The sequence below is a fragment of the Homo sapiens genome, chromosome 2 (assembly GCF_000001405.40).
Source record: "Homo sapiens chromosome 2, GRCh38.p14 Primary Assembly".
Taxonomy (NCBI): Eukaryota; Metazoa; Chordata; class Mammalia; order Primates; family Hominidae; genus Homo; species Homo sapiens.
Window position 1 is genome coordinate 202,064,762 of NC_000002.12, and position 27,732 is coordinate 202,092,493.

General features: G+C 43.6%; 1 protein-coding gene, 1 long non-coding RNA gene and 1 other non-coding gene across 5 annotated transcripts in view; 2 read left to right on the forward strand and 1 right to left on the reverse strand.

Annotated features, from left to right (window-relative positions):
• Positions 1 to 8,493: 8,493 nt before the first annotated feature.
• The window catches only part of KIAA2012, a 131,934-nt gene continuing 112,695 nt past the window's right edge, over positions 8,494 to 27,732 (forward strand). For all 3 annotated transcript variants that reach the window (NM_001277372.4, NM_001367720.2, XM_017003112.3), the window contains exons 1-3: positions 8,494 to 8,950; positions 10,130 to 10,414; positions 26,009 to 26,168. In NM_001277372.4, coding sequence (NP_001264301.2) covers positions 8,867 to 8,950; positions 10,130 to 10,414; positions 26,009 to 26,168 — 529 coding nt within the window. In that variant the 5' untranslated portion in view covers positions 8,494 to 8,866. The remainder of the gene's footprint in view (positions 8,951 to 10,129; positions 10,415 to 26,008; positions 26,169 to 27,732) is intronic.
• LOC124906152 (small nucleolar RNA U13) lies at positions 17,114 to 17,217 on the forward strand. The gene has a single exon (XR_007088741.1). It is a non-coding gene; the product is annotated as a small nucleolar RNA U13 (small nucleolar RNA).
• KIAA2012-AS1 (KIAA2012 antisense RNA 1) overlaps positions 22,794 to 27,732 on the reverse strand; it is a 29,504-nt gene continuing 24,565 nt past the window's right edge. The window contains exon 4 of the long non-coding RNA NR_135244.1: positions 22,794 to 23,179. This is a non-coding gene — a long non-coding RNA (KIAA2012 antisense RNA 1). The remainder of the gene's footprint in view (positions 23,180 to 27,732) is intronic.

Below are 27,732 nucleotides of genomic sequence, written 5' to 3' on the forward strand. Positions count from 1 at the left end.
CATAAGAATACAAGCCAGGAGTGCTGGACTGAGCATTAAGTGTACTTGGCAGCTGAGTCCTACAAGGCCTGTTAACCCTTTGTGCACCTATGTCTAGACAGTGAGTCAAGAGAAGGATTATGGTAAAATCTGAAAAAGCCAAGCCACCCCTTCTGTCAGTATCTCCCACTGGAATGTGCCATTTCAAAGTTGTTCTCCCTGCTTGACTAACAGCTCCTCTGGACACCTGCTTTAGAGTGGATTGGCTAAGAGATGGGCACAAGCAAGGGTTGGTGGGGAGGATGACGCTCCGCAGAGGGCACTGCTCATGTCTGATCGTACATGTTAGAACACTAATGACTCCTCTTAACTTGTGGTTGAGTTTTATGTGATCTCTTAGCCTTTGGAGAAGGGACTTTGCTGCCCCAGGTGGGTCTGCTCTATGAGATAAGGAGGAAATGCTTCCCCTCTTCCTTAAATGTATACTTCAGAGCCTTCTAGGGCCAGCTGGAGATTGGCAGCCTATGCCTCATGTTCAGATTGTTGGCTGGAGGAGTATGGACACAGGCTGCTGGCTGGGAAAATGGGGAACAGGCAAAGCTGCTGTAGATGGGCCTCCCGACCTACCTCCCAGGACTCCTCCATCTTGTCCCACTTCTTCCTCTCCCTCTTCCATCAATCCCCAATCCAGGCATCCACTCTGGGTTCCATTCCTGCACAGCTTGATTAATTCAATCTCTGCAAAGGTACTAGCATCTTATCTCAGTTCTCAGGAAGATGTGAATGCTTTTCCAAAGGAAACTATAAAGGTTGAAAAACAGGCAGTGAGGTTACCTGTGGGCTAGGGGCTCCTTGGTTCACAAGGAGAACTCTAGCAATATGTGGGTCTTGAGGGGAAGATTCTCCCCACACCCAGGCTCCCTGACACCCTTCCTCTTCCTCAGATTGTCAGCTGCAGCTCCCTGGCTGCTCCCCTCTGGGGGCTAAGGATGGGGACGTCAATTTGAACATCAAAATCTCACCAGTGTGGGCAAAGAGTGGGAAGAGAATTTGTGTATACCTTGGGTGTTGGTATGTCCCTACAAAGATACATGTTTTATACATCACATTAACATTTATCTAAAATGATCAGCACAGGGTTCACAATTTTCACTCTGTGATAATCAGAAAATATAAAAATTATTCTCATCATAGAGTTAAAATGGTGAGCTGGAAGCCAGTTGACAGAGAAGCGTCTGGTTAGGCAGTCTAGTGACTTACTATCTATATATATTAGATTTCCTGTTGTGAGGAAATGACTTTCAGAGCATCCATTTGTGCAGCAAAACCTCACTGCTGAGCTGGGCACAGTGGCACTTATCTGTAGCTCCAGCTACTTGAGAAGCTGAGATGGGAGGATCACTTGGGCCCAGGAATTCAAGACCAGCCCGGGCAACACAGCGTGACCCCCATCTCTAAAATAAAACCAAACCTCACTAGTGTGTGCTAATAGTGGGAGACAATTCATGTATATTCTGAATTGTGAGATGGAATTATTCATTAAACAATATTTTCAGCCGGGTGTGGTGGTTCATGCCTGTAATCCCAGCACTTTGGGAGGCCGAGGCGGGTGGATCACGAGGTCAAGAGATAGAGACAATCCTGGCCAACATGTTGAAGCCCTGTCCCTACTAAAAATACAAAAATTAGCTGGGCGTAGTGGCACGCGCCTATAGTCCCAGCTACTTGGGAGGCTGAGGCAGGAGAATCACTTGAATCTGGGAAGCGGAGGTTGCAGTGAGCCGAGATCATGCCACTGCACTGCAGCCTGGCAACAGAGCAAGATTCCATCTCAAAAAAACAAAAACAAAAACAAAAAACAATATTTTCTATTTATTGAGCATGTACTATGTGCCTGGCACAAGACTCGGTGCTTGACACAAATCATTTCATTTGCTAATTACATAAACATCATTGTAACAGTATTTAATGAAAATCAAAAGAAAAATTTACCCACCACCAAACAACATAGATCAAACATTGCTATGTTATTATTACATTTTATTACTCTAATGTTCAACAATGCTAAATTATCAGAATCCATGCAGTATCAATGAATGACATCTGCTCTAAGATCCTCCCTTTAGAATTAAAATCATCCCTGCTCCTGTCACCCTCCATAGGTTGGTTCCTATGGAAGTTTGTTATTTTTGCCCCAAGTAACTGAGCTGCCAGCCAGGTGGTGATTGATTTTCCCCATGTTATGAAAGAACCAAGAATGTGTGGCTTTTATTTCTTCTACAAACTCACTATCTCTCCACCGTAAATTTAAAAGCTTGCAATTACAGTGAATTTTCCTACTAATAAAGTGAAGCCATGAGCAAAGGGATAACTAAATATTTTAGACTCCCACAGCAAACCCTTCAGAAAGATCTAAAATAAATAGATCCCTAGTCCCTTCGCTCTGAACTAGACAGGCCATGCAGCCATAATTTATAGCTAAGGAGAGAAAGGAAGCAGAAATCCAAGGCTGACACTCTCTCTCTTGCTATGATTCCAGAGTATTCTTTGTTGCCTTTCGCATTTTCTTCTTTCACACCTGGCCTGGGCCACATAAGAAATTAGCCATAGTCTCTGAATAAGCCAAGTAACTTATCCTTAGCAGGTCTGTGCTTCTTCTGACAAGTTCAGAGGATTTTATCTTCTACACTGATTGTTAGGGTGCTTTCAGCCTGTGTACTAAGCCTTGAGTTGGTCAGCACCTTTAACCTATGGGTCTGAGCTTTGTACTATAGCAAACTACCAACTACTAAAACAGGATTTGACCCAATTCTCTTCTTTTCTATATTTTTCATACTGGCTCAAAGACAATTATACATCTCTTTGGGCATGCTAAAAAGCAAAATGACAAGTATTCAATCAGCTGCTACTATAATGCAAGGGGTTCTATGCTATGGGGAGTATTAAGAATTTTAAGATATTGGCCAGGCACAGTGGCTCACACATGTAACTTTGGGAGGCTGAGTCAGGAGGACCACATGAATCTAGGAGTTTGAGACCAGACAGGGCAACATAGTGAGACCCCATTCTACAAAAAATAAAAAATTAGCCAGGCATGGTGGAGTATGCCTGTAGTCCCAGCAGTACAGGGGGCTGAGGTAGGAGTACTGCCTGAGCCCCAGAGGTCAAGGCTGTAGTGAGCCATGATCGCAGCACTGCATTCAGCCTGGGTGACAAAGCAAGACCCTGTCTCTTAAAAAAAAAGAATTGTAAGATGTAGTCTCTACCTTCCAAAGACTTCAAGTCTAGTTGGGACATAAAACACAAGCAAATTGAAAGCCTTAATAATGTAAGGCGTTGCTGCTTGTCATGTACATGGCCCATCTTTTAAATTTTTTTTTAAACAGGATCTTGCTCTGTCTCCCAGACTGGAGTGCAGTGGTGTGATCACAGCTCACTGCAGCCTCTACCTTCTGCGCTCAAGCAATCTTCCCACTTCAGCCTCTGGAGTAGCTGGGACTACAGGCATGCACCACCACACCCAGCTAATTTTTTATTTTTTGTAGACAGACTGGCTAATTTTTTACATGTTTGGTACAGACAGAGGGATTTTGCCATGTTGCCTAGACTGCTCTTGAACTCCTGAGCTCAAGTGATCTGCCATCCTTGGCCTCCCAAAGTGTTGTGATCACATGCATGAGCCACCGTGCCCAGCCTCACAGCCCATATTTTTAAAAATCTTTTGTTTTGACTTTTTCATACAACTTGTCTTTGGTGCTTATGGTAGATAACTGTAGTTGGCTCTATCAACTTTTATTCTACATTCCCTCTGGTGCAAGAGCTAGAAAGCAGCAAACTTTATTTTCTAGACTTCCTTCCAACTAGATTTACAAAATGAAGTTAAGAGAAGCGAGGTTGGGGAGATCTGAGTGCTTAGAAGTAGTCATGGCAGCCAGACCAGAGGTCCAGGGCCCAGTCACCACTTCATGGCTGAAGCGGGTAGCGGGGGCCAAAGTCATAGCTGCTCTCTGAGAGCCATGATGGGGCTTCTTATGAAGAACTGCTACTACTCTATTCCAGAAGTATTACAGGAAGAACAACAGGCTGAAATTGGAACCAAATTTGGACAAGGTCCCATTTCACCTCTGGTTTGCTCTATGGCTTTATGCAAATCATTTCATCTCTCTGTGCACTGATCTTTACTCTTTCATTAACAAGAGCAACACCAAGGACTCTCCTCGTAGAGTGCCCCTAAAGATGAATAAAATACTAGAAAACACGATTACACTTCCTTTTAAAGAGGGATAAAGGTTCTGACAGTATCACATAGGCCGCCTCTCCAGAGTGGCATTCATTTACTCCAAGCACTTTGGAACAAGGGATACATTCCTGAATGTGCTGGGGAGGTGGCCATTGAACAGCATCTATTTTCTGTTTCATGTGGTTTCTATTTATTTACAGAGTGCCATGGTTATTCATGATGTTTTACAAACCATAAAAACAAGGTCTCCACCCTATAGAAGTTACAGTGTAATTCAAACAGACTTGCTGCATGGGCCGACAGGTCAGGCGTGCCAGGAGATGGTGTTGGTGTTGTATAACATGGGTGTGGAGGGGTTCTTCTTGAGTTATAAATACTTTCCAGTTACAAGGGCCTTTCATCTGGGATCCCCAAGCACTTTAGAATAGCAATAACCCGGATTGCTTTCTAAATGTACTTTCTATAAACTGTTGTGGGGACTGAGTAAATGCTTTTAAATGACTATTAATTGGTCTGTGGATCTGTTCATTGTCCATATTAAACAGCATAGATGTAAACACGATGGTTTAGGAGAGGCCCGCTTTAGGCTGTGGTCTGGCTGCTTACAGATTACTGCTGCCCCACAGAGACCCGGAAGGCTTGCCACAGCCTTGGGAGGGCCAGATGGACACTCCTAGGCGTTTTCCTAGGTGATAAGCTCACTCAACCTAGACTCAGAAAGAGCACTCCTTGGCGCCCTGGTTCACTGCGTATGGATGAGTTAACATTTCAAAGTCAGGTGAGTTCAGAGAAAGAATCTCCTCTGGAGAAACTTGGAACCATTCCTTGGCTAACGATGGTGGTTCTCATTCAGGTCCCAAGGCCTCCATTAAGTTCCTCTTATGCTGCTTTTCTCTCTTTCTTGAGCAATGGCACTTTCAAAACGGCAAGATTTATCTTTCTTTGCAGCTGGTATAGAGTTTCCCCTTCTGTCTTACTCAAAGACCACTTAACTGGTGATTTTTCCTGACCTATTTGACAAGTTCATTCATATCCAAGAGAAGACTGGCCTGGGTTGCAAGTCTTGAAAGTTCACCCAGAGGTTGATGAGATAAGGATTCCTCCTTCTATCCATCCTTTATAAGCTTCTCAGAGTTATCTTTCTAAAAACCCAGATGGAATAATATCACCCCCCTGCTTTAATAAAACCTACCTGGGGGTACAAATGACTCACGCCTGTAATCCCAAGGTAACAAGGGCAACATTAAGGACTCTCCTTATAGATTGCCCCTAAAGATGAATAAAATACTAGAAAACATGATTACACTTCCTTTTAAAGAGGGATAAAGGTTCTGACAGTATCACATAGGCCACTTCTCCAGAGTGGCATTCATTTACTCCAAGCATTTTGGAACAAGGGATACACTCCTGAATGTGCTGGGAGGTGGCCATTGAACAGCATCTATTTTCTGTTTCATGTGGTTTCTATTTGCGAAGCTGAGGCAGAAGGATCGCTTGAGCCCAGAAGTTCGAGACCATCCCGGGCAATGTAGTGAGACCCTGCCTCTAAAAAACAAAACAAAACAAAAACAACAACAACAACAAAAACCTACCTGAAGAATAAAATTCAAAATGCTTCAGCACGGTATATGCAGCCTTCATGGCCTTGGCCAGCTGACCTTTGTCCTTGCATCTCTGTCCACATGACCTGCAGTTTTGTTTTCTTTTTTGTTTCTATTTTTGTTTTGAGATGGAGTCTCACTCTGTCGCCCGGGCTAGAGTGTGCCATCTCGGCTCACTGCAACCTCCACCTCCCCAAGCAATTCTTATGCCTCAGCCTCCCAAGCAGTTGGGATTACAGTTGGGATTCCTTCTTAAGGCACACCACCATGCCTGGCTAATTTTTGTGTTTTTAGTAGAGACGAGGTTTCACCATGTTGGGCAGGCTGTTCTCCTCCTGACCTCAAGTGATCCACCTGCCTTGGCCTCCCAAAGTGCTGGGATTACAGGCATGAGCCACCACAACCAACCGGAAAAAAATTTTAATTGTAGTAAAATATATGTAACATAAATTTACTTTCGTTTTAGAGATGAGATCTCACATTGTCACTAAGGCTGAACTCAAACTCACGGGCCCAAGGGATCTTCTTGCCTCAGCCTCCGGAGTAGCTGGGATGACAGGTGTGTGCCACTGCACTGGCTCAAATGGACCATTTTAACATTTTTAAGTTTACAGTTCATTGACATTAAGTACATTCATATTGTTGTGAATCCACCTTCAGAACTTTTTCATCTTCTCATACTGAAACTCTGTACCCACTATACACTGATGTTCCATTCCCCTCTCCCTGACAGCCCCTGTCAATTACCATTCAACTTTCTGTCTCTGTGAATCAGACCACTCTAAGTACTTCACATAAGAGAAATCATACAATGTTTGTTCTTTCATGATTGGCTTATCTTGTTTAGTGTAATGTCTTCAAGGTACATGCGTGTTGTAGCATATGTCTGAATTTCCTTCCTTTTTTTTTTTTTTTTTTTTTTTTGAGATGGAGTCTCACTCTGTTGCCCAGGCTGGAGTACAGTGGCATGATCTCGGCTCACTGCAACCTCCGCTTCCCAGGTTGAAGCGGTTCTCCTGCCTCAGCCTCCCAAGTAGCTGGGACTACAGGCGTGTGCCACCACACCTGGCTAAATTTTTATTTTTAGTACAGACGGGGTTTCATCAAGTTGGCCAGGCTGGTTTCGAACTCCTGACCTCAGGTGATCCGCCCACCTCGGCCTCCCAAAGTGCTGGGATTACAGGCATGAGCCATGGTGACCAACTGAATTTCCTTCCTTCTTAAGGCTGAATAATACTGCATTGTATGCATATGCTACATTTTGTTGATTCATTCATCTGTCGATGGACACTTGAGTTACTTCCACCTTTTGGCTCTTATAAACAGTTTTGCTCTGCATATGAGTATACAAATATCTCTTTGAGACCCTGCTTTCACCTCCTTTAGGTATACAGACCCAGAAGTGGAATTACTGGTGATACGGTAATTCTGTTTAATTTTCTTAGAAACTGTCATACCATTTCCTACAGAGGCTGCGCCATTTTGCATTTCCAACAGCAATGCACAAGGTTTTCAATTTCTCCGTATCTTCACCAAATACTTGTTATTTTCTGTTTTTGTTTTTGTTTTTTAATAATAGCCATCTTAGTAGGTGTGAAGTGGTATCTCATTGTGGTTTTGATTAAATTCTGTTTGGAGCCTCTGCATTCACTCATTCGCTGTCTTGATTCCCCCTAATAAACCCTATTTTATTTTACAACAGAACCTCTATTTCTTTCTCAGGAGACTTGAACTTGGTTGGGGGTGGAGGGGTCAGAGGGGGAGGGGAAAGTGCCACATAGGAAGATCAAAAAGGTAAGTGGGCTTGTAGCCTGTTGTGCTTCTTCATATAGGCCAGCAGTGGGCACTCCCACAAGACTGCCAGGGTAGTTCAGCTGACAGCTAACAGGCAGCTTGCTTTTCCAGGCTTGAGCAGGTTCCTAGATCCCCAGCAAAGGGGTCTTTTTGTTTCCTGACCCTCTTCCCTCCTGTCTGTGCTCGTCACAATGTCACTGTTAAAGAGACCCAAGCATCCCAGGCTACACAGTGCTTCTCAAAGCAGGTGCTCCTGGCATTCTAGTGGGACAGTTCATCACTATGTGGGAATTTCACACCATGTAGAACATTTAGCATCTGGGGCCTCTGCTTGATCAATGCCAGCAAGACCCCCAATCATTGCAACAACCAAAATGTCCCCCACCCACATTTCCAGAGCACCCCCATCAGGGGATAGCTTGCCCAGTTGAGAACCAGGTATGCAAAGGAAGCTAGAGAATCCCAGTGTCTCCCGCTCAGGCAAAGCAGCAACTACCATAATGAGGTCTCGTGTCCAGTTGAGGGGATGATGGAGCTCAGCCAAGGAAAAAGTCACAGGTGGTTTTAGGTGACCTAGATTACACCCTGGCTCTGTTAATGGTTAGTTGACAGTGACAGGCTCACATATCAGGAGAGAGGGGAAGACGCTCTCTAAAAACAAGATGAGAACAATAACAGAAAAAGTACCCCAACAAGTCCCCCACCCCATGCAACTGGGACTTGCAACCTGAGCCTGGTCCCTTCAGTGTCCATTTGACCCCCACCCCCATCCCCGGGGAATGCACACTGCACCCGGCACCCGTCTCTGCCTTGCCTGGGTTAGTTTAAGGGACTTCATTTCCCTGTGCTGCCATAGCAACCAGGAAACAACCTCCGCTCAGACAAGAAGGATGGTGCTGTGGCCGAGATCTGTAGATGCACACGGCTGGTAACAGAGCAACCGGGACCAAGGGACAACAAGAGCTCAGGAGAAGGGGAGAGACAGGTCGCCCAGAGAGTAGACAATCCAGGGCTTGAGGAGGCTGGCTGTGCGGTTTATTTTTTCTCTCCACAAAGACACACACTGTCTAAACTGTGTGGCTGGTTGTTACTAAGAAGCTGCTGCGAGAGGGAAAAATGTATTTAATAAAAGGCCCTGTGTTTGTGGTCTTCTTGGGCTTGCTGTGAGCTCTGGAAATCTTGAGGTGTGACCAGATTTCAGCCTTCAAAACCAAGATGGACTGCCCTTGAGAAGGGGTGGTCAGAGGGAAACATGTTCACGCTCTCCCTCCTGAGCCGGGGCCACGGGAAGCTGGGCCAGGACAAACAGAAGTTAGAAGTCTACTTTGAACCAGAGGTGAGTCCCACAGCTGAAGAAAGGCACATTTTGGAGGTGGGAGAGGAATGCTCTATGTTTCCACTTGGGAGGTAAACCATGTGTGTCTTGGTTTGTGTTGTTAGTGAGGTGGCGGGGTCACTGGAAGATCTTCCTTCCTCCTTCATGAAACTCAAGAAAATAACATCATTTTCCTGACACACCGAGATTGCCCCTGAGGCCCTCATCTTTCCCCTTGTAGCTGTCTTTGCTTGGACCAAAGGAGATTCCAGATTGTCTGGAATTTGGATGGTTTGGTGCAAGACCAGAATTTCCACCTGGGTTCTAGGCAAACTGATGGTTGTTTGGTTTTTGGAAGTCGTGCTCTGCAGTTGAAATGCTGTGTGTGTTCATGCCATTTCAATGGCTTCCTTGAACTTTCTGGAATTCAACCCACAGGACTCATATTTAATATAGGCCAAAAAAAAACCCACCTCATTTTAGAAGATTTTAAAGAGGTGGCAAAATTCCCTTGTTATACTAGATTTTTATTTCACTTGAATCCTGCCAGGGATAAGAAACCTATTGGGGATACTTTGCAAATTTGGGGGTCATACAGAGATTTCCATTGTCATGGTACTTTGTCATGATATTTGACCTTTGCTGTGTTAAACGGCATATAAAGTTTCAAAGGACCTGTATGGCCAATGGCATTTTCTTACCTACAAGATATGTAACTGCTTTATAGGCCCCTAAATAGCCAAATTAGGTAATGTTACATAGCATCTGGAATGTATAGAAATTCTCCCCACGTACAGCTGAAGTGGTGGTGGCTTGGAATGCTCCTATTTAAACTGCCAGCTAGTCCAGGTCTAATTTCAAAGTTATCTGCTGCCCTTAATAATTCTGACCACTTACTTGCATACCAGGAAACTTTAACTGGCCTGTAACCTACATACAAGCTGAGTTAATCCTCCAGCCATACATGACTCTCCTGAAAGTTGTATGGGGTGAAATAGAACCATGCCCTGGGTTCTACTAATTTTGAAATGTGGAGAGAAAAGGCAGTTGCTAAGAAGAGCAATTGTGTTCCATAACACCATGTGAACAGTTCAGAGAAAATCAGTAACTAAAAAAATGCCGAAGGCTTTGCACAAGCAGTATTTGCTATAGAAAGGTCTTCCACAGTGGCTCCGTCAAAGTGGCTGCTTCTCATTGCAGGATTACTTGAACTGGAGGTCCCCAGAAGACTATGTTCCTGTCAGCAAACCTCAAGATAAGAACAATGCCAGTCAGCACTCCTGGAGCCTCTTTCTCCCTAAAACTTTCAGTACTAGAAAGGGTGCCCTGATCCTGTACTCAGAAGGTTTTGCCATTTCGGCATGGACACCCAAAGAGAGGAGAAAAGGCCCCTACTGCCCCAGAGGTCCCTGGAGGAAGCTGGATCTTGAACTGCACACACTTCAAGACCTCAAAGAAGCCATCCTGGCATATGGAAGGCAGCAGGTAGGCAGAACGCTCCCTTGGGTTTGGGGAAGGTGCTGGTAGCATGTCTAGAAACCCAGTTGCAGCTTTGGGAATAATTTCTTGGACCCGGGGAAGGTATGAAACTCTCAGAACTCTATTTCTTCATCTCTAAAATGAGATTGACTGTACTCTTAGCCCTATCTGCTGCACACCATTGTCACAAAGCTTAAATGAGATAATGTATGTGAAAGGGATCTGAAAACCATAAAGGGCTACATTATCATCATTTTATGTTTTCCTTTCAGTTAGAGTAACACAAAGTCCTTTTCAGCATTCAGACAGATTCAGGCCAGCAGACGTTTCATCAGGATCCTTGAAATCCTGTCTCATAGCCACAAGCATCATCATCCCACCTCTGATGTTCTTGGCTCTGTGGAAATGAGAGGGAGAACATTTTAAATATTTACCTTGAGCCCTTCAGCGTCTGCAGGATAAGTTAATGACTTTTTCCATCCTGAATACAATATTAAGGGAAAACACCTGTGTTCATTTTTCTGATTCATACTTCCTAATGTCTTGTGAGATGTGCATCTGGCCCCTGCTTTATATAATTGCATGCATCAGCCCTTTGGCTGAGGCCATAAGATAGTCTGGGAAGATGTGTCACTTTATAAAATTCTAGGTTAGAAATGGTGGGTGACTCCCTAATTTAAAAGTGTTTACTGACTTTTCATTCCCCACAAAATAAAGTCATTAGCTTCTTCTATCAGGCCTTTCACACATTGGCTTTTCTGCTCCATGTCTAGCCACATTTCCCACCTGTTCCTGTACCACTTCCATCATGGACGCCATAAGGCCCCACCCATGTGATTAGCTCATCATTCCCCAACACCTGTGCCCTTTCATGACTCTCCATTTTTGCACACACCTCTACAGCTGGCAAGCTCCCACCCATCCTTCAAAACACAACTTAAATACCATCCCCTCACTGAAGCCTTCTCCCACTTGCCTAGGCAGAGATAGCTCATGCCTCCCTCCTCTGCAAACATTCCCATACCGTCATGCACTGAAATTTATTTCTTTGACTGTCATTCCTGATGGATTAACATCTCTTCCAATATGGGGACCATGTCTAAATCATTTCCAGAAAGAGTACCCACAAATGTTTGTGGAATTAATGACTTGGTCATGCATGATATTTTCAATGTTTCTTAGATCATCTCCCAGAATCATTGTTGGACAATTTATCACCTACCCCCATGCCAGGCAGAGCTTCCAAAAGAAAAGACTCCTCTGCCCTCTTTTCATCTTTCAAAATAGAGAAGCTTGATGATCCTGACTGAATGCCCAATGCTCTTTAACTTAAAAATAATAAATTCTTGAATAAAAGAAAACCAATTGTTGAATGCTATAATGTTGCATTATAGCTAAATATTATTTTATTTAATCCCTACAAAGACCCTGTGCGATATAGTTTTTCTTGCCTCCTTGTATAGATGAGGAAACCAAAGCTCAGGGTAGATAAGTGATTTGCCCAAGGCCAGAGAGCTACTAAATGACAAGGCCAGAATTCAAATCCAGGACTGCCTACCTCACCAGGGCCTGCATACTTTGCACTCTGCCCTGTTGTTTGTGGACTCGAAGGGACTCCAGTGGTCCACTGGTCATTGTGCTGGTCATGGCCTGTTTGTCTCAGATTCCCTCTGTTCCCTTCCCCTGCTCTGCTCTGCATCACAGGCAGGTTGACCACAGGCTATATACAATTCTGCAAACATCTGTGTCCACTGGCTTCTAGTTGAATTTGCCAATGGGAGACGCTGGAAAGAGATTGGAGAGGGAGAAGAAGAGGAAGACCACAGTATTTCTCCCTTCCCACTCTGCCTCAAGTGAAAAGAAGCATCTGCATTACCTCTGTGATACAGCTCTCAACAGACAGGCCCACTATGACCCCCAGCTCCTCCAGGTGACCCCACCAGCTCCTCCCTCTGTCCTTCTAGCGTAAGTGTGGTGCTGGCTTCCTGATGTTACTGATCTCAATGTTGCCCCCCCAGCTGTTTGGCTTCTGAGGTCTCCAATCACCTGTACAACCAATTCCCTAAATCAAATTCCTTCTGTGTTTACTTAGTTTCTATTTTCCTGGTTGGACACTGAGTGATATATAGGCTAACTCACTGCCCAGAGTAAGAATACCTTCCATCGTCTTCAGATGCTTGTCTATAAGGCTAAATACTTCAGGTAACAGAGATCTTAATAGTTTATAAAGTAGATAAGTCAGTTTGGGGTGAGTTTCATTTTTGGTTATATTTGGGCTCAATGAAAAAAAGAAGTTGCTATCTTCCTGTGGCATCCATCTTCTAAATTTATAGCTCATATCTGTACAAAACAGAATATGTAGTCTAACTCCACATGAGTAGAGGGAAATGGTGTGAAGAAATTAGAGAAAAGAAAACGTATGGAAGAGTACAGGGCTGGAGTTTAAGATTAACGGACATAGTAGATTAAAAGAGGAGGAGAAGCAACTCAAAAGGGACTTCGAATTAAAGAAAATGAACACACTGGGCTCAGTGCCTCACACCTGTAATCCAGCACTTTGGGAAACAGAGGCAGGAGAATTGCTTGAGCCCAGGAGTTCAAGACCAGCCTGGGCAACATAATGAGACCCTGTTTCTATCAAAATAAAAATAATACAAATTATTTAAAAAGAAAAGAAAAGGAAAGGAACACCTCAGAAGCTTCGGAAAATAGAGTACCATCTGACTATGAAAACAACAGCCTGGCAAGAAACTTTTAAAATCATAATACCCAGTGCCAGGACAGCTATAGGGAAACAGCAGTCTCACATGTTAGGAGCACAAATTCACATGACATTTCTGGAGGGCAATTTGGCAAAAGCCTAAAAGGGGCTGATACCTTTTGATTCAACATTCCACTTTTAGGAGCTGGCCCTAGGACATAATCAGATGTATGTTCAAAGATCTATGCAGAAAAACATTGACTACAGGGTTCTTTATTACTAGGCAAAACACTGAAAACAGTAAATGCCCAGCAATGGAACATTGATCAAATGAACTCTGGTAAATCATGTAATGACCTGGGTCAAGCAATGAAGTCATGTGTTAGTCATGAATAACATGAGAAAATCTGCACAATGTTTTTCTTTTGTTTTGTTTTGAGACAGGGTTTCCTCTGTTACCCAGGCTGGAGTGCAGTGGCACCATCACAGCACACTGCGGCCTCAAACTCCTGGGCTCAAGTGGTCCTCCCATCTCAGCCTCCCCAGTAGCTGAGACTACTGGCTCATGCCACCATGCCGGGCCAATTTTTTGTATTTTTGTAGAGATGGGGTCTAGCTCTGTTGCCCAAGCTGGTCTCGAACTCCTAGGTTCAAGAAATCCACCCACCTTGGCCTCCCAAAGTGCTGGGATTACAGGTGTGAGCCACCATGCCTGGCCTGGAATGTATTTTTTTAAAGCAGATTACAAAAATGTATTCATATAATAAAAATACCAGTGTTCATTAACTTTTTTTGAGTAGTTGTGTTATTTTTGCCACTATTCTAAGTGCTTTCCAAGTATAATTCATTTATGCTTTCTAATAATCCTGGGCATAAGTACTATTATTATCCACTTTAAAGGTGAGGAAATAGAAGCACAGAGAACTCGAGTGACTCACTCAAAGTTATACAGCCAAGTAAATCACTGCACCAGAATGTGAGACTAGGCCACATAGAAAACATCACCTCTCTAATATAAATCTGTTTTTAAAAAAGTGATTATTGACCGGGTGTGGTGGCTCACACCTGTAATCCCAGCACTTTGGGAGGCCAAGGCAGGTAGATCATCTGAGGTCAGGAGTTCGAGACCAGCCTGGCTAACATGGTGAAACCCCGTTTCTACTAAAAATACAAAAAATTAGCTGGGAGTGGTGATGCACGCCTGTAATCCCAGCTACTCAGGAGGCTGATACATTTCTTTTTACCAAATATATTTTTTAAACTACGGGATTTTACAAATAAAATAAAAATCTATAGCTTTGAAAGAGGTAGACAGTTGACCCTGGAAATCAAGGTGAGAGGCTTCGGGGAGGAAAATGGAATGGCAAACAGTGCTGCAAGTTGAGTCCACCAATAACCACACCATCTGTCCATTAGGGTGAGTATTTCTTTGTCCAAATAGGATAGTTCAAGAGTTTAAAACACTACACTCAAAGTCAAAGAGCCAAAGTGAGGATGGAAAAAGGGGTAGAGTAATAGTGCTGCTCACGGAAGGATCTGTTCTTGGCTGGACTGTGAATCAAGAAACCTGCATGACTCAGGCCCCACCCAGACCTGTAAGAATACAGGCTGTCGCAGAAAGGTGCAAGTCAAGGTTTAAAGCATCTCACAACACCTCCAACTCCCTGGATCTGACAGCACACATGTGGCAACCCGTCTGGAGTTTATAGCTCAGCATACATCCACCCTTGAACTTTCTTGATGGCCCAACTCCTTACGGGTAAAGATAAATGTTAAGTCAAGAAATCAGAGGTCAGCATTCTTAGACTTCTGGATACACACAAATATGTCGCTTGGTTGGTTTTTTGTTGTTGTTGTTTTTTAACAGAAGGAAATCTTGTTTAGCATTTCCAAAGTTGAAACCATTCTTCTTGAGGCCTTTAATTTATTCAGCTTCCCATTATTGAGACATCAAATAGCTATAAAACCTAAGTAATCATAATTTGGGGTGGGATAAATACAAACAATGTGACATTGATTAAATAATGTATTTAAGATAATGTGTTTTAAAATTCAGTTCACAGGGCATTTTACCTGTATAACCTCATTCAATCTGCACAAGCCTAAGAGCTAGGTGCTAGCATTACCTCCGTTTTATAGGAAGGAAGCCTGGGGCTTGACATTAACTAATTTGCTCAAAATTACAAACCTAAGTGGTGAAGCTAGAATTGGAGACCAACAACGGATTCCAAAGCCCCACGTTTAACCCCTAGATGGCTTGATTTTGAAAACTCCACATTCCCCAGAGAAAAAGAAGCATCTCCCCAGCTTTAACAGTATGTTTAAAAAGTGGATCTGAGTCTTTCAACACATCCATTAAGCTAACCCTTTGTAATTCTAGGAAAGCAAATCAGATTTTTATTAAAATTAATTTGGATGATAAGTAGCATTTCTATAATAAGCTATATATATGATCCAATACACTCCTGTTTCTCTAGGTTTTATGTACTTCATTCATTTGTTCCCTTGTATAACGAATAGAATATTTATAACAATGACTGGGGCCGGGCACGATGGCACACGCCTGTAATACCAACACTTTGGAAGGCTGAGGTGGGCAGATCACCTGAGGTCAGAAGTTCAAGACCGGCCTGACCAACATGGAGAAACCCCGTCTCTACTAAAAATACAAAAAAATTAGCCAGGCGTGGTGGTGCATACCTGTAATCCCTGCTACTCGGGAGGCTAAGGCAGGAGAATTGCTTGAACCCAGGAGGCAAAGGCTGTGGTGAGCCAAGATCATGCCATTGCACTCCAAACTGGGCAACAAGAGCGAAACTCCGTCTCAAAAAAAAAAAAAAAAAAAAGAAGGCTAACACTTATGTAGAAGTTAGTATTATACCAGTACCATTCTAAGTGCTTTACACTTATTAACTCACTTAATCCTCACAACAGGTTAATAAGGTAGGTGCCTTTTTTATTGTAGCAAAATATATATAACATGAAATTTACCATTTTAACCATTTTAGATGTACAGTTTGCTGGCAGTAAGTATATTCACATCGTTGTACAATCATTACCGTCATCCATTTCCAGGAGTTTTGTCATTTTGCTAAACTGAACTCCATGTCCATGAAACAGTAACTCCCCATTTCCCTCTGCCACCAGCCCCTGCAACCATATTTCTGCTGTCTCTGTGAATTTGACTATTCTGAGAACTTCATATAAGTGAAAGCATACAGTTGTATCCTTTGCGGCTAACTTGTTTCACTTAGCATAATGTCTTCACTCATTAGAAGAATGAATTCATGTTGTAGCATGTATCCGAATTTCCTTCTTTTGCAAAGCTGAGTAATAGTCCCTTGTATGTATACACCACATCTTGTTTTTCCATTCTTCCATCAACAGACACTTAAGTTGCTTCCACATTTTGGCTGTTGTGAACAATGCCCTATAAACATGGATGTACAAATATCTGTTCATGTCCTTGTTTTCAATTATTTTGTGTATATACCCAGAAGTGGAATTGTTTGGATTATATAGTAATTCTATTTTTAATTCTTTGAGGAACTACCATAGGATTTTCCACAGCAGTTAGTTACACCATTCTACATTCCCACCAGCAGCGCACAAGAGTTCCAGTTTCTCCATATCCTCATCAACACTTGTTACTTTCTGTTTTCTTTTTAAACACTTTTTTTTTTTTTTTTTTTTGCTGACGGAGTTTCGCTCTTGTTGCCCAGACTGGAGTGCAATGGCGCGATCTCAGCTCACCACAACCTCTGCCTCCCAGGTTCAAGTGATTCTCCTGCCTCAGCCTCCCTAGTAGCTGGGATTACAGGCATGCACCACCACACCCAGCTAATTTTGTATTTTTAGTAGAGATGGGGTTTCTCCATGTTGGTCAGGCTGGTCTCGAACTCCCAACCTCAGGTGATCTGCCTGCCTCAGCCTACCAAAGTGCTGGGATTACAGGCATGAGCCACTGTGCCTGGCCTTAAACACTTTTATTTGATAATAACCAGATCCTTTTGTAGTTCATAAGCATGATGATTGGGTGTTCACATGCATGTGTGAATGTGCCACCCTCTGAACCTCGTTACAACATCAACACATTACCTGTCTGACCTGAAAAAAAATTTCTTTTATTTTATAATAGCCATTCTAGTGGGTGTCAAGTGGAATCTCATTGTGGGTTTGATTTGCATTTACCTAGTGATAAATGACATTGAGCATCTTTTTATGTGCGTGTTGACCATTTGTATATCTTTTCTAAAGAAATATCTATTCAAGTCTTTTGCCCATTTTTTAAGTGGGTTGTTTGGTTTTTTGTCATTGAATTGTAGGAGTTCTTAGATATTCTGAATAATTGGTTCATGCCTGTAATCCCAACACTCTGGGAGGCTGAGGCAGGAGGATCACTTGAGCCCAAGAGATCGAGGCTACAGTGAGACATGATCACACCACTGCACTCCAGCCTGAGTGACAGACTGAGACCCTGTCTCTGTCTCTCTCTCTCAAAGAGAGATATTCTGGATATTAATCTCTTACCAGATACAAATTTACAAATATTTTCTCCCACTCCATGGGTTGCCTGCCTTTTCACTCGGTTGATAGTGTCCTTTGATGCACAAAAGTAGGGAGGCTAAGGCAGGAGAATTGCTTGAACCCGGGAGGCAGAGTTTGCAGTGAGCCAAGATCGTGCCACTGTACTCCAGCGTGGGTGACAGGGCGAGAGTCTGTCTTTAAAAAAAAAAAAAAGAAGTTTTTAATTTTTATGAAGTCCAACTTATCTATTTTTTTCTTTTTTGCCTGTTCTTTTGATATCATATTCAAAAACTCATTGCCAAACTCAATGCCATGAAGCTTTTCCCCTATGGTTGTAAACTCTAGGGGAAAACTTAGTTCTAAGAGTTTTACAGTTTTAGTTCTTATGTTTAGGTTTTTGCTCCATTTTGAATTAACTTTTGTAAATGGTGTACGGTAAGAGTCCAATTTCATTTTTTTTTTTTTTTTGCATGTAAAGTATGTACTTTTGTCATCCTTATTTGACAGATAAAGAAACTGAGGCACAGGTGAATCAAATAATTTCCCTAAGGTCACACAGCTAGTGAGTCATCAAGACAGGATTACAAATCCAGGCAGATTGAGCTCTCGTAGGACCTGAAGCCTAATTTTTGCTGCTAGCAATCCTAGTTGTACCTTTACATTTATGACATATGGCTGGTCAAATCTTTGATGCTGAATGGTTTGGTCAGGGATCAAGCCTTGTTACAACACTGCATTAATGAGAACATTCAGACCACTTCACGACTTTCTTCTTTATGGCCTTGTATCCAGGAACATATGCTCACCAAAGATAGATAGGAGAGAGAGTTATCATTTGCACAGAATCCCAAAAATTAAACCTGCAGAGAAAGGGCTGGCTGAGAGCAGCAGTGTTTGCATGAGGCTGATCAAAGTCACGCTGGGGATGGAGGATGCTTTCCAGGCACAGCTGCAAGTGGCTTCTCTCCTCTCCCTCCCACCCTGCCCCGACCTCTACTCCAGTTGCACTCACCTGGCAGCCCCAAGGCTGGCTCCAGTCACACATGCACAGGTGCAACGACAATGATCAGTCACCGTGTTCTAAGATTTGGCCTTTGCCAGAGAACACTGACTCCGGCAAGACAGACTGAGGGCTAGGAGATGCCAGCTGTGCCCCTCCTGAGAGAAGGACTTCTGGCTGGAGCAGGCAGCTCACAGCACAGGTGGTCAGCAGTAAAATGCAGACATTATTGGGTTTTTCCATTCAATCGAGCCAACGTCTGAGTAGTTAGGAAATGCCCTGGGCCTAAAACAGTGCCTGACACATAGCAGATGCTCAACAAATTGTTTAATGACATATTGGTTACAAGGATATGGCCAGGGGGGCGGGGGGGCTGTAACCTCTACCCAACAGGAGTGCACAATCTGGTGAAAGAGGCGGATTTGTGCCCCAGTGACATTTTGATACAAGGCTGTCCATAAGAGAGTGAGATTATGATTTCCTAATAAAGAAGGCAGAGAGTGTGACTGCTTCTTACTGGGAAAAATCTAGAGTGGCTTCTTGGAGAAGGTAGAATTTGAGCTGAGTCTTGTAAAGATAAGTAGGGTGAGACCTTCCAGGCTTAGGTGAGCAGAGGCCTCTAGGGGAGAAGGTGCAGGGGAGGGGAAGTCAGGGTCACTAGCCAGGCTCCCTGCTGGAAATATACCTGGGGAAGTGGGTGGGGCCAAATTGTGGAGGGCTGTGCCTGCCAGTTCTGGGATTTGGGGGTTTCTCTCTTCACGCTTCTGCTGAGTCCTGCACACAAACGCTGGGCCACCGTCTGCGGTATGATGGCAGCTGGCTACCTAGGGATTTGTTGCCTTCCTGGGGACTCTGGCTCCCTGCCACCCCATATCTGCTGGGCAGGAGCACAAGCCCTACCGTCTCCTTCTATCCTCTGAAAACCTTCAGTGGCCAGCACTAGAGCAGGTGGACAAGACAGCCAGTGCGGGGGAAGGGACAGTTACACAGGAGTCCCCTTCATGCCTCTGCATTCAGAGACCTCATATGCATCAGGAAGGCAACTGGCCAGAGCAAGTCCCTCGTTAAAGGAAGCACTCATGGTGGAATGTGGATAATAGGCCACCCCGTGCACACTAATTACTCATTGCAGAAGAAACCCGAAGCTGGGATTGATTGGCAAAGCCGAGGCAGGCCTGAACAGTCTGAAACCATCCATAGCCAGCCTCCTGCTGTCATGTTTATTTTCCTGTTCCAGAAACTCCCTCCCTGGCTCCCTTCTGTCTCCTTTTATATTTTAGAGTGACTTTTGAGTGGGTGGTTAGGTCTAGGATAACTTTAGGGAAGAACTAAGGAAATATGCATGAGAAGAGGGTGGGTGCCAGAAAATTAGTTAATTTTTAACATGTTTTCTATTTAGAAATATAATCTATATCACTGAAAACTTGATTTTATTTTTTTAAAAAAAAGAGAGAGAAGAAAGAACTATTTGTAATCTTATGCCCAGCACCCTAATACTCCCATTATTAGCTTTTTCATCTATTTTCTTCCAGTCTTTCCATCATGACTATACACAGGATATGCTTGTATGAGGTTGTAATTATACTATACATGCTTTCTTATATTTTGTTGTTTTCCACTGAAAATATTCTTCAACAGGTTGGAAGTGAGTAAGTAGATTTCACCCTGACTGGTATCCTCGGTTAGCCCTAAGCAGGCCTTGGGCATCCCTCAGTGCTTCAGTTTATCCAGTGAGATGGGACATTATTAACCAACTTCATGGGCATAATTTGAGAAGTTATTAAAAGAAACCAGGAAACTAGAAAAAAACTTAAAGAGAATGTGGTAGACAGGATGTCCTGCCAAAGATATCTATGTCCTAATCCCTGGGACCTGAGAGGTTACAGGGCAAAGGGAAATCAAGGTTGCCGATGGAATTAAGGTTATCATCAATAGATGGCCTCGAAATGGGGATATTATCTTGGATGATCCAGGTGGACCCAAGGTAAGCACAAGAGTCCTTAAAAGCAGAAGAAGGAATCAGAAGGAAGATCAGAGAGAGGGCAGCCTGAGAAGGACTCAGCTTAAGGTTGCTGGCTTTGAAGATGGAGGAAAGGGCCACAAGCCAAGGAATGAAGGTGGGGGTGACCTCTAGAAGCTGGAAAAGGCAGGGAAACAGATTCTTCCCTAGAGCCTATAGAAGGAACTCAGGCCTGTCAGCACCTTGATTTTAGCCAGTGAGACCCATTTTGAACTTCTAACCTCCAGAACAGTATGAGAATAATACATTTATGTTGTTTAAACCACTAAATGTATGGTAATTTGTTAACAGCAGCAATAGGAAATGAATACACCAAGATCAGCTTCCAAATCCTAAGCAAAAATATATGTAAATACTCTAAATTCCAGGTCTAGGATTCCCTAACTCTTCTTGGCAACTCCCTGCACCATGGTGCAAGCTTCTCAGTAAAGCTTCAGAACCAAGCTGGTGCTTCAGAAATGCCCACTAATGGCCAGGCGCAGTGGCTCACGCCTGTAATCCCAGCACTTTGGGAGGCCGAGGCAGGCGGATCACGAGGTCAGGAGTTCGAGACCAGCCTGGCCAACATGGTGAAACCCCATCTCTACTAAAAATACAAAAATTAGCCAGATGTAGTGTTGGGTATCTGTAATCCCAGCTACTTGGGAGGCTGAGGCAGGAGAATCACTTGAAACCAGAAGGCAGAGGTTGCAGTGAGCCAAGATCACACCACTGCACTCCAGCCTGGGTGAAAGACCGAAACTCTGTCTCAAAAAAAAAAAAAAAAAAAGAAAGAAAGAAAAGAAAAAGAAATGCCCACTAATGAGAACCTGCAAGGGTTCCTGTCCAGACTCAAACAGCACATCTTGCCATCCGCACAGGGGCCACAGCATCTTGGAAGAGGCTGGTCCTTACTGCATTCAGAGGAAAGTCAGTCAAAGCAAAGATTCACAGAAAAGAAATGAGGTTGCAATTCACCCAGAAAAGGCCTCTCGTCTAAAGGCTCCATATTTCAGGGCCCAACACAGTGCCTGGAATATAAAAAGTACCCAACAAATATTTATCATATGACTGAGTGAAAAAATGCAGTGAGTGAAAGTGTCATTTAGCTTCCACCATCCTCTCTATAATTCTTTCTTTCACGTCCTCTGGGAAAAGCCTCAAGACCACATGAGACTGAATTTCTAGGCTGTTTTTGCACTTGAAGTACCTGCCACATAAACTTTCCAGACATCAAGGAGCAGGTGATGCTGTATGTTTGAATTCTAAGCATTCGTTTAATTCATAAGTCCCCAAGGAGTAAAGCCAATTGAATAGTAAGCCATGTTTTCTTTTATCTTGAACCTTGAACCCATGCACTCTGGCCCTAAATCTAGAGCGCTTTCCCAGGCTTTCTCACAAGCTGTCTCCTTCCCACTCTGCTGCTTGTGCATTTTGGGCTCACTTGATGTGATTTTATTAGTTATCAATCCATCTTGATCATCCCCTTTTTTCCAGTGCTTGTTTCCCATCCCTCCAATCCGTAGCAGCTTTAAATCTGTTGCTCCCATATTATATCCACATATCAGAAATACTTTTGGCTGCAAGCAACATAGTTCATGATTACCAATGGTTGAAGTTGGGGAATCAGCAAACACTGCTCACTGGTCAAATCCTGCCCACTACTTGTTTGTGTAAATAGAGTTTTATTGGAACACAACCATGACCATTTGTTTACATATTGCCTATGGATGCTTTTGCACTACAAGGACAGGTTGAGTGGTGGCAACAGAGACCATATGGCCTGCAAAGCCTAAAATATTTACTGTCTGACCCTTTATAAAAAACCTTCCAGGCTGGGCATGGTGACTCACGCCTGGAGTCCCATGCACTTTGGGAAGCTGATACAGGTGGATAACTTAAAGTCAGGAGTTCAAGACCAGCCTGGCCAACATGGTGAAACCCTGTCTCTACAAAAAATACAAAAATTAGCCAGGCATTGTGGCACATGCCTGTAATCCCAACTACTCCGGAGGCTGAGGCAGGAGAATCGTTTGAACCCAGGAGGCAGAGATTGTAGTGAACCAAGTTAGTGCCACTGCACTCCAGCCTGGTTGACAAAGCGAAACCATCTCAAAAAAAAAAAAAAAAAAAAAAAAAGGCTGCTAACCCCTGATTTAGGCAATAAAGAGATTTAATTATCTCAAGTAACACAAAGTGGAGGGGCAGGAGTTTCATGCTTGCCCAGCTGCTTGCCAATGCCATTAAGGACTCAAGCGCTATCTTTTCCTTCCACCATCCTTTGAATGTTGGTTTTTCTTATTAGGCTTGTTAGTGCATGTTCACAAGATGGTCCCATACTTTCAGAGGTCACATCTGGGTTCAAAGCAGAAGAAAGGGGCCAGCAAGCAATCCTTGCACAGCTGTTCCTTCTCTAAAGAAACAAAGACCTTCCAGAGGCTCCCAGTAGTTTCACCTTAGTTTCATTGACCAGAGCTAGGTCCCTTGGCCATTCTGAGATGCAACGGAGTCTGGGAAAGCAAGGCCCTCCATGTCTTCACTTTCCTGGATTCAACCAACCAGGGATGGAGAATATTCAGGAAAAAAAATAACAATCCAAACCAAAAAAAAAAAAAAGTATAACAACTATTTATACCGCATTTACATTGTATTCAGTATTATAAGTTGCTAGAAACAATGTAAAGTATAGGGAGGATGCATATGGGCTATACTGTACAAATATTACTACCACCATTTTATAATATATAAGGGACTTGAGCATACACAGATTTTAATATCCACAGAGGTCCTGGAACCAATTCCCCACAGATAACGAGGGATGACTATTTGGGAAAGGGGATCTGCTGACAAAAAATTGGGACTCTTTTAGCAGAAAGAAGTGAGGGGGAATAAGTGTTGGGCAGTTAGCATAGTCTCCCACCACCTGGACAAGAAAAAGGAGAAAAGACCTAATATTTGTTCACCACCTACTATGTGCATTAAGTATTTTACATACCTCAGCTCATATAATCCTTAAACTGAGGACACTGAGTAAAATTATTCAGAGAAGAAATTAACATGCCCAAGGATGGGGCAAGATCTCAAGATCAATTCCATCTTCAAGCAAAGCCTCTGCTCAGTCTCCACTGTGTTCTCCTCAGCTCCCTTTAGGAGTACTGAGAGATTAGAAAGTGCTTTCACAAGTGCAGGGTGGGCAGGGAGTGAGAGCGTGCACCCTCTCACCTTACCATAAGCTGGCTCAGTGGAACACCCTTTCACTTACATTATTTCATTTACACCAAAAACGAGGTATTATGTCAGTATTGTGGGCTAAATTATATAATGATTAGACGATTGAGAAGTGGTGGGGCTGAGATTGGAACTATTTGTTCATTTATTCATTTCCCCACAATATCGAGCCCCTAGTATGTGCCAGGCACTGTGAAACCTGACTCTCGGGTTGATTCCAGAACCCATGCACTCTCCATTCCCTCTACCACTATATTAGCTCCATTTTAGAGACAGGTTCAGAAGGTTCCAGAGCTCACGCAAGATCACAAAGTTCCCATGAGGCAGAGCAGGCCTTGAGCCCAGGGGCTCTGGCTGTAAATCCAAGGCTCTTTCCCAAGCTTTCTCACAGGCTGTCTCCTTCCCACTCTTTGGCTTGTGCTTTTTGGACCCACTTGATGTTTCCCTATGTCCATTGTTCAGCCTCTGCAGGCCCATAAGACTGAAGTGAAAGACTGTTCTGAAGGGTAGAAAGAGATTTGGTGCCTACAAAATGAGTTTCAGGATACCAGAGCTATTGAGCCACTGAATTAACCAACCCTGGTATTCTCTAGCCTTTGGTCTTTTTGTTACATGAGATAACAAACTTTCTTTCTCATTGTTCAAGCCTGTTGAGTCAGGATTTACTGCATCCTAACCTGTATGAAAATTTTGGTCGCTCTAGAATATAGTTCTTACAGTCTGGGAAACTCACTGAGGCACCTGCTTCGAAACATCTTTATTTATTGTTTTGACATCAAGCTGGTTCATGGTGCTAACTCCTGATCTGGTCCTTTGATGAGATGGTCAGTTACTGAAGAACAAGAAGCTTTGCACTGATGTGAATTTTGAAGCCCTAGATTCAAGCCCAGCTCCACTTCTAACTGGCTCCACACAGTTGCTCTCTATCCTTCCAGGCTATATTGTTGCCTTGGGAGACTTCCTTAGCCAAAGGGGACTAAGTGGGTTTCATTTCTCATGCCAGTTCTCACTGGAACACTGTGTGGATCACTTTCATGGAGCATCCAAGAATATATGCTGTATGTTTCCATTCATATGAAGTTCAAGAATAGAACAAAACAGTCCACGGTGTTAGAAATCAGAATAGCAATTACCTGGTGGGTAGGAGGATACTGACTAAAAAGCGGCATGAGGGACTTCCTGGGTGGATGAAAATGTTCTGGATTTTGTTTTCTGTGGTGGTTACAAAGGTATATACAATTGTCAATATTTATCAAATGAACATCTAAATATTCTGTGCATGTTATATAATTTATGCCTCAGTTTCAAAAATGTTCTTAAGGAGAAAATGGATTCTGAGATCACCTTCAGTTCAGCAGTCAAGAATCCTGTGATTGATTAGGGATGTCTGCCATGGACACTGGGAAGGGTGAGAGATGTCAACACAAATATCACACATTTGCTATTCTTTTGCCTAAGCAATCATCCTCTGAGAGTTTCTACATCACTTAAGTGGTTGTAGTAACTCAGTCCACCTTATAGGATTACAGATGAGGTGAAAGTTCTTTGTATAATGTAAATTCCTAGTCAATTGTAAGATGTTATTATTCATATTTATTCCCTATGATGTCTTGCACAGTGGCACTGACTTTGGCAGATAGGTTCCCAGAAAATTCTCCCCAGCTTAAATGAAATGCATCAGAGCCAGATATTTTCAAAATGCCAGGCTCCCCATGAACATGGACATGATTTGTCTGTCCCATTATTCACATTACAAACATTGAATGCCAATGCAGATTTGTGAGCTGGCTTTCCCATTACAGTACAGAGCCATTTTTGAAGATACTAAAATGATTTTCACAGGCTGAACTAGGTAATGTGTTTTCTTCTGAAGTTTTTACCCTTTCCTAATACTCTATCTCAAGATGGGATCTGGTATATGTCATTTCTCCTTCTGCTTCCAACTGCAAACCTGCAGGGGCCTTTCAGAGCTTTGCTCTGAGGGCTCTTGGTTCATGTCTATTAGCCGAGGCATCTGTTTTTGGTGCCTTCTGGCACCTTCTGGGAGTTTCCTGGGTTACTGATGAAGATTGTGCTAACCAGCCTGTATCACTGGGTGGCTCAGGGGTCAGCAGCTGTGCTGTTTCCTGACTGGTGTCCCCACAGGGAGAGCAGGACAGAGCCTGGCAACCATACCTCCACTTCCGAAGCCAGCTGGAGAGCCAGGCCCAACGGCAGATCCAGCCAGGGCATTCAGCCAAGAGATACCTCCGAGGCCTCCTGCGGACTTGGCCCCCAGACGCCATGTATAGGCTCTGGTGCGCAGGTCAGTGGGGAAATGGGAGGGGGGCACACCCCAAACTGCCCCACCTCCCATTCTGGTGTGACAGTGTGTTTTCCATCAAGACCTGAAACACCAGGATTTCAAGCCCAATTCTGTGTTAAAGCAAAGTCCCCACGCTTGGTAGCCCACAAGCCCCTTTCACGGCTCCCGTCCTTTGTCCTCTGACGCATTTGCAGAGGGAAGAACGGCCTGAAGTCCTGCCTTCACTCCCATCCCTTGCCCTCAGCAGCCTCACATGCCACATCCAGGCCAGAACTTTCTTCCCAATCTTCTCCACTCAGAGACCCTCCAGTTCAACACCCATCTTTTACAAGATAAGGAAGAAGAAGCCCAGAGAGGCAAAGTAATTTGTCCAAGATCATTCAGTCAAAAGCAGAGCTGGGACCAGAAGTCAGATCCACCCTGCACCTCCACAGTTCCACATTCTTCCCAACATTCCTTAGTACCCCATCTGAGGTGATCCCAGGTCCTCCCGGAAGTGAAATGTTACGACTCTTCCTCTTAAAAATGGCGGCTCTCCAGCGCAATCCATTAGGAGTGCGATGGACACCCTTCTGATGAACAGACCCTAAATGCACTCTGTAGATGCTTGAAAACAAAAATGGGAAGTGGTTGGGGATTAGAGTTGCCAGATTTAGCACATGCATACCCACCCCCGCAACACGCATAAACAGTTACGCTTGCAATCTTCAATCTTCGGGATGTACTTCTACTAAAAAAAATTCATTGTTTATCCAAAATTCAAACTTAACTGGACATCCTGTATTTTATTTGGCAAGCCTATTTGGGATGAGAAGAGTGAGCAGAGAATGTGCCAGTACCCACTCGGCTGTTTGCCATTTCTTCAGCAACAACAAACAGCCAGGACTAGAGAAAGACTGACTTTCTTCCTGCTTTATAGGTTTACCCTGAGGAAGAAGAGAAAGCAATTCACTCCCCCAATAAGTGGTGACTTGAAGCAAAATGAAAGTTGTGGGCTCCTCCAGTCATTGGTTTTACTCTCAGGGCAGTTCCACAGTTATAGGCAGTTCCATTTATTTGAAACTTTTGAGAAAGAGCCCCTTAACCAAAGAAGTGTTTCTCATTGAGTGGGGCAGAGGGCAGAGCAGGCCATTCTCCTATAGCCTAGGTCCAACATTCCCCAGAATGAAGGCCCCTCTTGACCTCAAAAAAGGTCGAGTCCTCCATTGGAGTCTATGGCTAAAATGTGTGGTTTAAGGAAAGATACACACACACATGCATTCTTGAGCTCCTTGCCATAATTCCTTGCCAAAGCCCCTCTTGAAGTTGAGGACCTCAAGCTGGAGGCACAATGGCAAGAATCTGGTGTAAGCCCATCAGTCCAATGGCCCCTACCACCCTCTTCCTGCACATCTCAGAGCTCCCCACTTTATGATACTAATGTACATATTCTCTTGGATTTCTTTACACCCCTATGATTAATCCTCCCCACCCTTCAAGCTCACACCTTCTACAAAGTCTTTGCTGAAAGCTCCAGTCAATATTGAGCTCCTTGTTTTCTGAACTTATATTACACTGACACTCA